Genomic DNA, 15,754 nt, shown 5'->3' with positions numbered 1-15,754 from the left:
TTCTTCTCACTCAAGATTCTTCATCTCAAAATGGTGTCCACCAAATGTCTTAATCCAGGTAGTCTCTTGTTTAGAAGTTCATGAAATAAGAACCTTCTCAAGAAGTTGGAGGCTATTGATTGAGATGGTTTAAAGCTGCCCCTTATTATATGTTTTACTCCCAAGGTAGACATCAAAGTGGCTAATAATTCTATGACTGATGTCTAACTCACTTCTATGGGAATCTATAGAAAATGTTTTATTTATGAGACAGAGTCTCCCTCTGTTACCCAGCCTGGAGTGCAGTGGCTTGATCACCGTTCACTACAGCCTCAATATTCCAAGCTCAAACGACCCTCCTACCACAGCCTCCCAATGTAGCTGGGACTATAGGCATGCATCACCATGCCTCAGCTAAGTGTTTAATTTTTTTTTTTTTTTTTTTTAGAGACTGGGTCTCACCATATTGCTCTGGCTGGTTTCAAACTCCTGGGCTCAAGCGATCCTCCTGCCTCAGCCTTCCAAAACCAGGTGTTTAACTTGGGACTAACATGAAGCACTTAGAAGACTACGTGGAACATAGTGAGCTACATAAAATATTTGCTATTAGCATAATAATTTTATTGCATATCTTAACAAAATTGTGTAAGTTAGGCAGGTGGCATGCCAATGGAAGTATTCTCCTATAGCTGCACTGAATCATTCTTACCACTGAGAGTTGCAGCAAATGGGGGACATAATTTATAACTTACTTTTCTTTCTGTATGACTCATTAGGCAATGACTATATATGTACTACAACGTAAACAGCACCTCCTGGATTGAATAGAACATAACTGACATGACCAGCAGAGACAGGCTAAAGACACTGAGCTGAAAACCCTGGACTCTATTGCTAAATTGAGGCTCCTGAATCCGTTCGCTCTGAGCAACTGTTGCTGTGGTGCTGCCTTCACAAGCACTCTGCTGAGCACTCAGATAGAGGGGCTGTGCTATCCGTCAACAGACAAGCTGCAGCCAGAACTGCTCAGCTGACAAACTGGTAGAGGTCCAGAAACACAGTTCTGCTGCATAGTGAAAAAAGGCCAATTTAGATTCTTTTTCATAGAGAGAAAAACATAAACATGTGATTGAACGAGTCTCCTGTATTAGACTAATTGGGTTGGCTTTGATATTTAATTGCTAAAAATACACTTAGAATATAAACCTTACTGTGTCAAGGTCTCAAAGAATAAATAATTGGTATGGTATAAAGAAGTATTGAATTCTATGCTACAAACTTCTAAGCTAAAATATTTTCAATGTATGCAAGGATAGGTGACATACATATTAGATACTATTCCCCCATTAAGCAAATTTATAATGAGAGAAAATTATCTTCCATAAAAAAATAAAAGCCATGTAAAATTAAGGACTAAGTTTTTCTGCACAGACTAGACAACGATTGCTAACACATAAGGTCAAAGAGAGAACAGTCAGAGAAAGCTTCATGAAAACAATAAATTGTCTGCCACGTCTGAGTGAATGAGGCTAGATGAACAGAAACTGAGAAGGCAGAAAGGATAGCATGAGCAAGACAAGTGCTGAAATCTGCCCAATTAACTCTGAGGATAAAGTCCAATGGCAGGGAAATAAAAACCCGTGTCCACATAATAACCTGTAAGTGAATGTTCGCAGCAGCATTGTTCATAATAGCTAAAAAGTGGAAACTAACTTAAAGGTCCATCAACTGATGAATGAATGGAAAACCAGTATAGCCATGGAATAGTACATCATTTAACTATAAGAAGAAATAAACTACTCATGTGTGCTAAAACATGCATGAATTCTGAAAGCATTATGCTAAGTGAAAAAGCCAGTCACAAAGGACTACATATTGTATAACGCTATGTATACGAAATATACAGAACAGGTAAATATATGGAGACAAAAGTAGATAGATGGTGGTTGCCTACAACAGAGGTAGGTGGAGGGACATGGAGGAAGGCTGCAGTCATGCCTAGGAGATGTGGGGTTGCTTTTCAGGGTGATGAAAATGCTGTGAATATACTAATAGATACTCAGTTGTACATTTTAAATGGTTGAACTCTCTCAAATGTGAATGATATCTCAGTGAAACTGTTTTTAAAATCCAAAGGCAGGATCAAGATAATTTTCTCAACTCTCAATTTTTGACTTACATGCTATATCAAATCTAAATATTTTTAGAGTTTTATAGTATATTTTAAATTAAAGATAAAGAAAATGCCTAAATTTTCAAATAGTTTGTAAATTAACCTAAAACATGCACATTTCAAAGAATAGTATAATGGCCTTTCTGTACAAGTTAACCTGCAATCTGTGAAATAAATAGACACAGATTCTGTGTCCATTCACGAAAGTGAAGAAATAAGACAACTTTCTGGAACTTTCCATGAAATATTCTCCTCTGATTTAATCTGGCCTGCCTCATCAGAACAATACAAAAATTACTTAAAAATACTGTTTTTACAGGAAAAAAGTAAGTTTTCTATGAGGAATGATATATAATTCTCCACTTTTCCAAGGGTACATATTGTAACAGAAAAGGTATGCAATGGTTTTTCAAAATGGTAGAATGAAAGTCACAATATAAAAAAATAAGTACATTATAAAGATAGTAAAATGGAAATAATTCATTGTAATGAAACTAAAAAATCAAGCTTCTGCCAAAATTAGTATCCTAAAACACGTTATATAAACTCAACTAGCTACAGAATAAGAGTTGACATGTTAAATTCCATACACACTTGACTTTTCACTTGAAATAATTTCTTCTTTGGGGCCTGTGTCTCATCCAAATTAATGTGATAATGTGACATACCTTCCAGTGGAGACTCTAACGTAGTTAATATTTTTAGGCTGTCAGCCGCTTCTTGTTGAAGTTGTCTCACAACCACCTGAGAAAATATTTTTGTTACTGATTTTATAAATTGCCTTATTATTAAATTATGTTAATAATATTTAACTCCCTGCCAAATTGGTATTCTCTTACTTACACAACAGGTTCATCCCACCATTCAATCATCTTAGAAGCTCAACTCAACCTCAAAGTTCCTAACATATTCAATCACCTTTTCAAATCCTTCCAACAGATTCCTATCTCAGGATAAAAGTGAAATTCCAATGGCCTTTGAGGCCCTAGGTAAACAGTCCTCTACCTCCCTCTCTGACTTCAAAGCTCCTACAACTCCTTCCTGTAATTACTCCATTCCCACTGTACATGAAGCCTGCCACCCCTCAGTCTGAAAATGGGGATCTAATGCCTTACTCATAAATCACAGGCAGCTACAAGTATCTTTGTACTGAACAAAATTATATTCCAATGATAGTCATTGAGCCTTGAAATAAAAATTATGAGCTAATTATTAATATAAATAGTCAAAGTAAACTATAAATACCAGTGGCAAAACTAAATCAAACATAGTTTTGCTAATTATTACATTCATTCTAAATTATGATTTTATGACATGTAGGTGCCTTTACAACATTACGTAGTCATAAAAATATGTAATTTGAAGTATTTTCAGATTTTTAAAATTAATATGAATAATAACAAAGATATACCAAAAAAAAAAAACACATAAAAAACTACTTAAAGCAAGGTATTACAAGACACAGCAATACACTTCAGTTCATCTGGGAAGTCTAGAATTAAGTGTCGAAGGAAATCACTTAATTAAATTTTAATTTGAAAATACTCATTTCAGGTGTAAACATTTCCATTTATACCTACATTATGGTCTTAACATGTGGCAACATAAAGTCATTAAAATTATTTCAGCAGTACAGAACTATCTATCTTAAAATATGACTCTGTGCCTAATAAAATTTCATAGGTGACACAATGTCTTTTCTCAAAGTAAATCATCTCTCATCTCTACCTTTTATTTCCTAGAAATGAGGCATGTTTCTAAGCTGATATAGTAAACACATTTTTCCTTTTTTTATTAAAACAGCTTTGTTGAAATATAATTTACATACTATAGAATGTATCTGTTTTAACTTAAAGTTAAAAGATTTTTAGTCCATTTACTGAGTTGTGCAGCCATCTCTACAATCCAACTTTACAGCATTTCCATCACTGCAAGATCCCTCATGCCCATTAGCAGTCACTACCAGCTTCTAGTCCCAGCCCTTTGCAAATATTAATCTACTTTTTGTCCCTATACGTTTATCTTTTCTGGATGCTTCACGTACATGGAATTATACAGTATGGTAAACACACTTTTTATCTATTGATTTTTATATTCAACTAAGTTCAACATGTATCCAGAACCAAATGTTTAAATTTTCTTTCTAGAAGTTTGAAAATATTTATCTTCCTTGATACTTACTACTCTTTCTGCTTTCTCTCTCTCATATTGAAAGAGACTTTCTTTTAAATGATCACATTCATTCATTACCTTCTTATTTTTCTCTTCTAGCATGAGGTCTTTCCACTCTCAATAAAGCTTCTTTGGATATTAGTTATTATCTCTTTATGATACTCTTTCTGATGAACATCATCTAGTTGCTGTTCAATGCACGGATTTTCATGTTGGAGTTGACATATTCTCTCTTCTACACAGCTCCACTTTCCAGTGGAATTATTCTCTTTAGCTTCTGCATTTTCATACATCTCTTTCATTTCCTTTATTTGCTGCTGTGTTTGGCTTAGGTTGTTATGTACAGTTTCTAAAGCCAATGACTTTTTTCTGAGAGTATCTCTTGTCTTAAGGAACTTATCTTTTAAGGTATTGAATTTAATTTGTGGTTTAGAAAGTTGTTCAGTAAGAAACTCATTCTTATCTTCTACTTCGGAAATATCAGAACTCATTTTTACTTGTACGGAAACATCTTGAGTTCTCTCTAAAGCAAGTTTTAGGTTTCTTTCTGTTTTCACACTTTCACTGTGTTTACTTATAGAAGCAGCCAGTCTAGACTGATAAGATTCAGTTTCAGCTTCCAGTCTTTTGTTGCTTTCTTCTTCCTTCAACAGTCCGGAACTGAGCCTTGTATTCTCAGCTTTGAGATCATTAAGCTCTTGTTGATACCGGAATGCTGTTATTGTTATCAATTCCTCATTGAGTTTTATATACTTTTCAAGGACAGCATTTGTTTCTTTAACAATTTTAACTTCCTTAAGTTATTTATTTTCTTTTTCCAGGTTGTCATTTTTCATTGTGCACATTTCCTGTCTGAATATAGCAATATCTGTATTCAAAATGCAATTTTAATCCATCAGATCTTTCATTTCTTCGTGATTATGAAAATCCTAAATAAAACTAAAGAAAGTTTTAGCTAGTACTCAATAAAATATCGTGATTACCTCTGAAGTTAAAGAATAACCTGCACATCCATACACTAAAAAGGTTACTGTAAGTGGATATCCAACTGGAGACAAAGTTGAAGCAACACTTTGAACCTTATAGAGCATAAATTCCAAAAAGTTCAGAAATTTATTTAAAGTCAATGAATTTATAAAAGTAAACACACACACACACACACACACACACACACACAAACCAGAGAATTTTTAAGAATTTCAGAATTGGAAAAGCCTTTCCTTGAATTACAACAAACTGAAAAGCATAAATTAAAGCATTAACAAATTTGACTAAATTAAAATATATCAAAAAATTGCATTTACACTTTGATATCTAACCCATACAACACCCTATAGTAAGAACCTTGGTTCACACGTATTTGGACAGATAAAATTTCCCAGAGTTATTACAGTTCTGTTTCGCTGATAACATTCTATTTCAATTTGACTCTTTTAACACTTTTATATTCAGTTGTAAGAATTACATTTACTAAATCATAAATCTAGACATTATACTAGTCACTCCTATATACATTCATTGATGAACTCATCTAGTTATCACAATTTTGAAAAAGAAATGTTAAAAATATAAGCAAGCTACAGGATTTTCCCCAGGACTTCTGACTCTACTTCTAGTTCTCTGACATATCACAGTTACTTCTGTGGTGTAAATATATCCATATGGAAGAAAACTTTTATTTCAAAACACCAATGGTAAATAAGATAAAATTTATAGAGCTCTTCTTAGAATATCATGAGATTATTTGTGATTGCAATAATTTGTTTCCTCTTTATAATATTAGGTACAGTAATCAATATGAAATAGGGGAAAGTACAAGGAACAATTTTACTGGGAACAGAATCTTTATCAATAGGTTATCACTAAGTATATACTATGGCATATTATTGTTTTCAAAAGCTCTTTGTTATAAAATAATATCTTATGTGGATGCCAAGATTTATAATAAATATTAATAATTGTACCTGTAAGTGGCATCATTCATTTTTTAAAAATGAGATAACATTTCTGGTTTGTTTTAGATCTAAATATTATATATTAAATCAAGAGAATATTAGAAGAAACTTTCATAAAATAGTTTAAAATATAGAATTTTTACCAAAGATTGATTTATCTGATTTGGAGTATTTCTTGCAGTCTTTGTTTTCATCTCTAGTGATTGAACAGTTGGTTCAAGTTGCTTTGCTTCAACTTCTTTCTTATGTTGTTTCTCTTTCCTTTCTAATTCTTCTCTATTTTTTTGTACAGCATATTAACATTTGTTTTTTCTTTATTTTCTTATCTTAAGATGCATCTGCAGATAAAGACATTTATCTTAAAACTCATTTTGTTAAAAAATAAAGAGTTCATCCTGTGATCTACCTCTGCAGATGCTCTTTATCATCCTAATAAAATTTCTGTGTTCTGAATTATTTTTCCTGTTTAGTTCTCAGATATTTAATCTCTCACTTCAACATCTTCAAAAGAATGCATATACTTGAAAAGTAGTAAGGAAAGAATATTCTGCTGAAGTTTTTGTTACTAGTCACTCTAGCATATATTATAAAAAAGGATACTGGAGATAATTCAGTATAGTTAGAATTTCAAAATTACCTTTTCAAATCACACAGTCATAATTACTCCCCGATTAGAAAAGGTCATTTACAATCAACTAAATTTTTAAAGTTACTATTTATTGACAAGCGTATAAGTTCACTAGAAATAAATTTTCATCTTTATGAAATATTGCAGGTGTCTCTCCAAATGATTTACAGAGTAAGATGTCTCTCACACAAACTATATCTGCAGATGATTGTCAACTAAAACTAGGCTAAAGGGTCTAACATCTGTTACCCCACACTTTTTATAATTCTTTCTTAATACTTCCAATTCACCTTCTTATTACATATATTTTATGTATTTATTAAGCTATTGTTCATTATGTGTAATATATAATTAATGCCCTTAATAAGTGTATGTTTACACAAGTTATGTTTTCCTGTGAAATCTAGTCCCAGAAGTGGAGTTGTTGAGTTAAAGAGATGTCAGGTTATTTGAAATTTTGATACACAGCACTAAGTTACCCTTCAGAAATAATTTACCAATTTCATATACCAACAGTGTATGAGAATGCCTTTTTCCTCACATTTGCCAATGGTAGTAATTACTTTTTCAATACCAGCATGACTTTACAAAATATATCTTATTTTATGTTAATTTGCACTTTTCTGATTACCAGGCAGGGCTAAATATCTCTGGTAAAAATATAAAACTTGTTAATCATAAGGAATATTAGTCCAATTTTGAATTAGTTTATAGCACAATGACAATTGTCTGCTGCGAAATACTGCTATAGGTGGCCAGGCACGGTGGCTCACTCCTGTAAACCCAGCACTTTGGGAGGCCGAGATGGGCAGAACGCCTGAGGTCAGGAGTTCGAGACCAGCCTGGATAACATGGTGAAACCTCATTTCTACTAAAAATACAAAAAATTAGCTGGGCATGGTGGTACACGCCTGTAATCTCAGCTGCTAGGGAGGCTGAGTCAGGAGAATCACTTGAATGCAGTAGGCATAGGTTGCAGTGAGGTGAGAACACACCATTGCACTCCAGCTTGGGCAAGAAGAGAGAAACTCCACCTCAAAAAATAAATAAATAAATAAATAAACACTGCTATAGGCTTACTTACCTATGATGCTCTTCCTTCAGCTTCTTGGTAAAAGGCTGAGGATAGGTTTTCCCAATATTTCTTTGTTGGGTTAATCTGTCAGCAGCAGCAGCAGATGTACTATGACATACATTTTCTGATAGTTGTATTTTTTCACTTTTGTTTGTATTATTTCCTTCTTTGACCTTTAACAAAAGTAATATGAATAATAATTATTATTTTATTCAATAAAAAGAAGTTTTTCCCTGATTTTTTCACTTGATTCAGGTTAACTATCACCGTTTTAATGATAAAAATATTTTGTGCTTACTTTAATTTTATCATTATACATAATTATTATAATTATAAGATACTCATCATTTTATCATTGAAATTTTTGTCAAGTCTGCTCATTTCTGTTTGAGTGAATAGAAGAATTTTCCAAAATTTCAAAAAGGACTCTTCTCCATTTTGTGCTTTTATTCCCATCCACTCTTTGCTATCTGATATAAATATTTATGTTATCTGACTGGCAGAAACAGAGAAATAAAAAGACACAGGCATAACATATATCTTCTGTCATTGCCACCTGGATTTTACATGAAATAGCCAGATTAAGAGGATGTGACCTTGTAGGGCTTCAGGAACAGTAAAGAAGTTTTCCCTTTTCTACACTGAGCTATTCTTTTCCCCATTGCCTTTTATCTCTTTTTTTTTTTAATTCTGGGATATCAAAAAAGTGAAAGTTCTCCCTGAACTATGGGAACCAAAGTTTGCCACAACACAAGAAGCAGAGTGAAACTGCTGAGTTTCCAGTGCAGAATTCTGGAAAACGACATGCTTCCCAGATTTCACATTCAATTATCAGAAAAGTTATAGGTGGAAAACATACGGTACAGTTATCTACTTTAGCCCCATTATCTACTGAAAATGGGAGTCAAACTAACAAAGACATATGAAATGTTTCATCGAGAGCTCTTGAGGTGGCATTCTCTAGCATTTCATGGCACCAAATAACATGATACAATTCCATATTGCTGAATTACATAAATTACCAAATAAATTTATCAAATTAGTCAGATATATTAAAAGTCTAAGTTGAGCAAAGCAATTTAACGCCTCAGAGGGTGGAAAAAGGCCTCATCTGCTTTTACTTTGAAGAAGAAAATCTCTAGATTTTGTCTATCTTTAGGACACAATGTACAGAACTCAACTTTCTACTAAAGAATCAAAGGATAAATTTTTATCTAAGAAATTATGCTTCTTACATGATAAAAATCACACATGCCAAAACTTATGATACTTTATTAAACAACATAATGTAAGGACTGATTCAACAGAAATATTGGAGTGGTGATTTTTTAAAATATGTGGAAGTATATATTTGTTTTCAAAATATTGGAAATAACCATGATGGAACTATAAGTTCAAACAGTTTGAGCTAAGCAGATGAACTTGCATGCATGAAAATACATTAAACAGACTCATTTGGCTGGGAATATTCATTGCAACTCTCAAGGCTAGACGTGTTTTTGTGGCTCGTCTCAGTCATTGCTTCCCTCCCATTGTATTCCCATTCTATCATTAAATAAATGTAATTCATCTCTAAATGAATACAGAAAAAAGAATCTAGAATCTAAAGCTTATTTCTTTAGCAATTTCTTTATGTTGATCTCATTCAGAAGGTCACGTGGTATATGGCTGAATTAGTTTCCCAGCTCATATGCCACTTGGAAGACTGAGAGTGAGACTTAGGTTGATTAATGAAGAAACATTATGAGAACATTCTCCAGAACCATTGTTTAGATAGCAGGACTAATCTACTTTGACACATAATTACACATTTAGAAAACCCCGCTGTAACTGTACACATGAGATTTTCTTGAATAGAAAATTTGACTAAATCAAATAATTGATAAAGAGAAAAAAGAAGCAGCAAGTGAACCTCTGTCTTTTTGAAGTTGGACTTTCTGTTTCTCCAAAGCCAGGAGCTCTACTTGTAACATGCCTACCTCATTCTTTTTACTATTATTATACTTTAAGTTCTGGTACATGTGCACAATGTGCAGGTTTGTTACATATGTATATATGTGATATCTTGGTGACCTTGAAATATCTTGCTGTAAGTCTTCTAGCTATATTTTTGATGTTCTCTCACTATGTGGCAAAGAATAACCCGCATTTTATAGTTCAAGATTCATGGTTTTGTAGTTATTAACACTGGGATTTTCATACAGCGGCTTCTGGAATAAGCACTGTGTTGGTTTTCTGTTTTTATAAGTATCTGTAGCAGCAGAAATACTGTGACTTTCTATCTGAATCATATGCTTCATTTCTTTGGGGTGGGTAAACCACAAATCAAAAAGGCTTTCTGGATCTCTAGACTGAGACCAATGCCTAATTTCCAATTAGTGGTATTTGGGTTTATATATTTTTCCATTTGCATGTCAAACTCTTAATCATCTTTCATTTCAATCATAATTACTGGGTTCCTTACTTTTTCAGTTTCTATATCATAACAAAAATTTCCATCATCTGTGTTAGAAACAAGCTGTGTGTCTGGTTTGTTATCATTTTTATAGTCTGATTTATTTTAAATTAAATGAAGCTTAGAAGATGACTGGTAAGTGTATTTCAGGGACCTGGAGTGTGAATGGAATAAAAAGACATTTGACATGGGCTTCCTCTGTTCAGGCGCTGCCTGGACTGCCACAGAGCTAGACCCTCCAGATACATTTTTCTCCTCACAATCAGGGACATGATTCATCAGACTAGAGGGCACTCCTTTTTTGTTCATCCCTCTTTAGAGTTACCATGTAGGAGCTCTTCCTCAGGGCAAGTAGTAATTTTGGAGTTTTCAGAACTTTTACCAATATTCAGCTTGAACTTGTTTGTAATGAATTTTAAAGAAAGTCATGAATATATAGATTGATTCCCTTTATCACTGTTCTTACCCAGTTCTGGTTCTTGAGACTTTTTTTGGTGGGGGGCAGGTGCAAAATGGAAAACAAATTTGCTTGTTTTGTTTCTCAGATGTCTTTTCTGTCAGAGTGCATGTTTTAAAATTAGCTTTAATCAAGTATAAACAAAGAAATATTAGAAAATAATTAAAATTTAACTGTGAAACTTAATCTATGTGTTGCTACTCTTAAATTATGGGATTGTAACTAAAAAGTGAAAAATAATTTGCTTTGGCTTAACATAGGACAGAAACATGAACCAGCAAGCTGAACTCTCACTGTCTGTTTGGACTAAACTTAATGCATTTGTGTAAAATCTACCAGAAATGAATTCAAAGATGATAGGTAGTATTATAAAAGCTTCCTCTCTTACAAAGACTTTACCTCAGCATACCAGAAAGAGTGAGCCCCTACAGTGCATGTTTATTTCTGAAGATTAACTAGAGCACTAGGCAAACACTAAATTATTAAGAGCTAAACTGAACACCAATAAGAAAGAGAAGTAAAATTTTAAATTCTAATTCAAATGATATACTATGATAGTGTTATGTATCTAGATAGAATTTCTGCTTATATCCACTTCTAATATATTTTAAGTTCCAGTAGTGATAGGGTTTGGATTTTTTAAATTTCAGTAATGTTTACTATGTATTTATGTTGAAATAAAGTTATTGTTCACACCCTGACACCAAAGGTCCCATTCTGCAAGGTAGGATTCTCTTAATAGGCAACTGCATTGACTTTTATGACCCCATTCACTCCCTGAACACAGACACAGAAGTCAACTGGTGACCACAAAACAGAATAAATCTTTAACCTCGGCACTGGTGACCAGCAATATAAAACTGCAACATTTGAAGCACTGGCAATGATGACTCCTTTAACACTAGTTTAACTCAGTGGCCATTGTTGTTAAACTGTTCATAATTTCTATTCCTCAGTAATATGACCCAATACTTCATGTTACCTTGTGTATTATGAGTAAGGTTATATAAATAAAACAGCAAGGTAATTCTGAAAATTTCTTGCCTCAATTCTAAGGGTAAATACAGCTATGAATTACTAGAGATACTAAGAATTACTAGAATAACTAATAGTTACTAGAGATAGTAAGAATATCTTAAGTTTCATAACTGGTTAAGATGTTTTAAAAATTAAATATAAAATTATGATCTATTGGATTCTAAAGGTATAGTCTGAAAGGTCATGTCATTTGGACTATGCTTTGTTAGTAAAGCAAAAAAAAACCCTAATATTAAACAAGAACTTAAATTTTCATATACCTGTGATTGCTTCTTTTCACTTCTTTCACACCTTTCTTGCTCTTCCTCTAAAGCCACTGGTAAGGTTTGTTCTGTTGACAAAGTCATTGATTTAGTTCAAATGAACTAAGAAGAGTTAGATAAGGACTATAATCTTTATAAAAATAAATAGAGAATAACATTTCTTTGTATTTTATATTTTGAGAGTTTGAATGAAACAATGTTTACTGAAATATTTACTTCTGTAAGAAATACTTCTAATTATCCAAAACTTCAACAAACCACTTGGGGAGACACCAGATATCACCAGATTCAAGCCATGTAAAATCTCAGGGTCACTCACAAATTGTTCCACCCAACATAAGTCAACAAAACTGTTGGAAACAAAACAGAAATTTGAAATACAGTCAAAATATACAACGTAATGCTTTATTATACTTCATAACAGTATCTTTTTAACAAGACACTAATTGAGTTGGCAGTTACTAATAATTTGCAAAATTATTGTTGTTTATACCTCAATTAGTGTGCACCCCATTTTTTACATCACAAATGTTTTCCCCTGCTATTCTGAAAAATTTATTTTCATCTTTTAAGACTCAGAAAGTAGGCTGGGCATAATAGCTCACATCTGTAATCCCAGCACTTTGGAAGGCCAAAATGGGAGAATCGCTCAAGGCGAAGAGTTTAAGACCAGCCTGGGAACCATAGGTAACCTTGACTCTACAAAAAATTAGACAGGTATGGTGATATGTTCCTGTTGTCCCCGCTACTCAAGAAGCTTAGATGAGAAGATCCCTCGAGCCCAGGAGTCTGAGGTTTCAGTGAGTCTCAATCATGCCATTGCACTCCAATCCTGGGTGATAGAGTAAGAACTTGTCTCCAAAAAGAGGAAAAAAAAAAGGCTCAGAATGCTATGTGAAATCTTCCTTGATTCTAGGTATCTTTCTCCACACACAGAGGTGTCTGCTTCGTTGGGGTCCCTTAGTACCTTGTCAATTTTTCTAGTGTCACTTTACCACCTGACCTGCACATCATGTCTTTACATGTTGACCCCTTTGCTGCTAGACTGTAGAGGATAATCTTTTGAATCATCTTTGTATAAGCAGTCTTAATTTTGCTAAATAATTACTTATTGAGTTCCTGCTAAGTGTTAGGCACTGGGGAATAAGGAAGGAAAATAGAAGCTGTCAGGGATGGCTTTCCTAAAGATCATCCATGAGCTGAGACTTAGAGAGTGAGGTTAGCCAGATTAAGCGAGGCAGAGGGCAGGAAAGGGTGAGCACATGCCAGGCAGCAACAAGAGAGGAAGAGAAGCCTCCAAGAGCGTATGTATTTCTCTGCAGAAGAGGAATGGTGAGGGGGCCATTACCAGCAACTCAGTAATTCCAGAGAAAAAGGCAGATGGGGAAAGGGATACAGATGGAGATTTGGGCAGAAATCAGTTTCCTTTTCTTTTCTTTTTTGGGACAAGGTTATACTCTGTCTCCCAGACTGGAGGGCAGTGGCATGATCTCAGCTCACTGCAACCCGGCCTCCCAGGTTCAAGTAATTCTCCTACCTCAGCCTCCTGAGTAGCTGAGATTACAGGCGCGTGCCACTACCACCTGCTAATTTTTGTATTTTATTAGAGATGGGGTTTCACCTTGTTGGCCAGGCTGGTCTTGAACTCCTGATCTCAAATGATCCACTTGCCTCAGCCTCCCAAAGTGCTGGGATCACAGACATGAGCCACCGTGCCCAACCCAGAAGTCAGTTTCTGAAATCCTTATATAAACCTTTAAGATGCTTAGACATTAGGTATTCAGGAGTGATTCACGGATCTATTTGCATTAGGGATAATTCACTCTAAATACTGTGAGGAGCATAAAATTCTGAGGCATATAAATCAATGAACAAAGATAAAATATAAGGCAATGTTGCAAAGATGATGCAGGCCTGAGGAGATGTTTTCAGAAATATTTAGGATATAGGTATCAGTGGCCATTATAAGAATGAATTTCTATTGAATAAATAAATGTATATATCTCGGTCCCTGGAGAAATACACTCTGCTCATTACTTTACAAATTTTATCAATCAAATGAGAAGTAAAGTAATATACATAAACTCTTTCAGTTACTTGTATTTACTTTACCCTTTTTCTGTTTCAGTTTTACTGTGCCAAGGAAATGCATTTGGGTTTTGTGGTGGTTGTTGTGGTTGTGGTTGTGGTTGTGGTTGTTTTTGTTTTTTGAGATGGAATTTCACTCTTCCTGCCCAGTCTGAAGTGCAGTGGTGTGACCTCAGCTCATGGCAACCTCTGCCTCCTGGGTTCAAGCGATTCTCCTGCCTCAGCCTCCCAAGTAGCTGGAATTACAGGCATGTGCCACCATGAACAGCTAATTTTGTGTTTTTAGTAGAGATGGGTTTCTCCATGTTGGTCAGGCTGGTCTCAAACTCCCAACCTCAAGTTATCTGTCCGCCTCAGCCTCCCAAAGTGCTGGGATTACAGGCACTAGCCACCGCACCCAGCAACATATGGGGATTTTGTTTTAAAAGTTCTGTTCCCTGGATCTACCAAGCTCATGAGAAAATAGAGCAAACAAGTCATTTGCATAGGTAAGAAACTTTGGATTTATAGCTTGTCCTCACTACTCTAGAAGATTATCATCATGTTTTGCAAAGCAAAATGTTAAACACAGACATAAGGGGAAAAAGAAATTAAAACTATAGGGGTGGGTGAAAAAATATTGCATAATTTATTACTGTTGACCTCATCATATGACTGATTAAGGGCACTGAATTTAACTTGGATGTGAAGTAGACCTCATATTAGCTGCAGTTAATCAGTAGACCAGGCGTCCTAGCAGAATTAAATTTGATGCTCCTGTGTTATCTTTAAATGACACAGCTTTTCTGAAAACCCTTACTCATAGTGCGTGATTATCCATTAAGAAAAGGTGATGGAATATGTGAATACAGCTGAGGAGACACCACAAGGCAAATGCTCAGTGGTTCCCATTAATATTGGGAAAATCAACACTATAAAACAAAAAGCCATAGACATTATTTAATATTTGGTTTTGGGAGGTATTTTTAGTGACACTGCATACAGTTGTACCTAATAATTGCTAAATTAGAGACGTAAAAGTAAAACAAAGGCACATTGTGTTTGAGTAGGAAATCTATAGACATCTAGCTGGTTTTCCCATCCAGCCACAAAATTCTAAATATAATCATGGTACCTGTACTCAAATTTATGTTAAATACCAACCTCAATGAAATCACTCTTTCTTCTCATTCCCTTTCTTATTTATATGTTGCTTTCCTTAAGGGAAGAATACAAATGCCTTGCTAAGAACCATTCTGTTTGGTTGTAGGCTGCATAAGGGGAGTGAACACAAAGTATATTTGACCACAAAATGACTCTTTAAAAGTCAGAACTATGGTAGCATGAAGCCAAACGAGGTAATCTAGAATAAAATTTTCTATGCTTCTTTCCCTTCTTTGCTCTCTTTCTACTCTAATAACTGCGATTCACACAGGTAATGAAGAGTGTAATTCCTTGATAGAAACACAGCTCCAAGATTAATCCTTTCTTT

General features: G+C 34.3%; 1 long non-coding RNA gene and 1 pseudogene across 1 annotated transcript; one reads left to right on the top strand and one right to left on the bottom strand.

The window, feature by feature from the left end:
* The first annotated feature begins 405 nt into the window (after window positions 1-405).
* Window positions 406-7,200, top strand: LOC124905337 (uncharacterized). The gene is made up of 2 exons (XR_007068558.1): window positions 406-561; window positions 756-7,200. It is a non-coding gene; the product is annotated as an uncharacterized LOC124905337 (long non-coding RNA).
* LOC100996316 (putative ankyrin repeat domain-containing protein 20A2) overlaps window positions 4,283-15,754 on the bottom strand; it is a 32,857-nt pseudogene continuing 21,385 nt past the window's right edge.

This window comes from Homo sapiens, unplaced genomic scaffold, assembly GCF_000001405.40.
Source record: "Homo sapiens unplaced genomic scaffold, GRCh38.p14 Primary Assembly HSCHRUN_RANDOM_CTG28".
Classification (NCBI taxonomy): Eukaryota; Metazoa; Chordata; class Mammalia; order Primates; family Hominidae; genus Homo; species Homo sapiens.
This window is presented reverse-complemented; position numbering and strand designations above follow the sequence as displayed.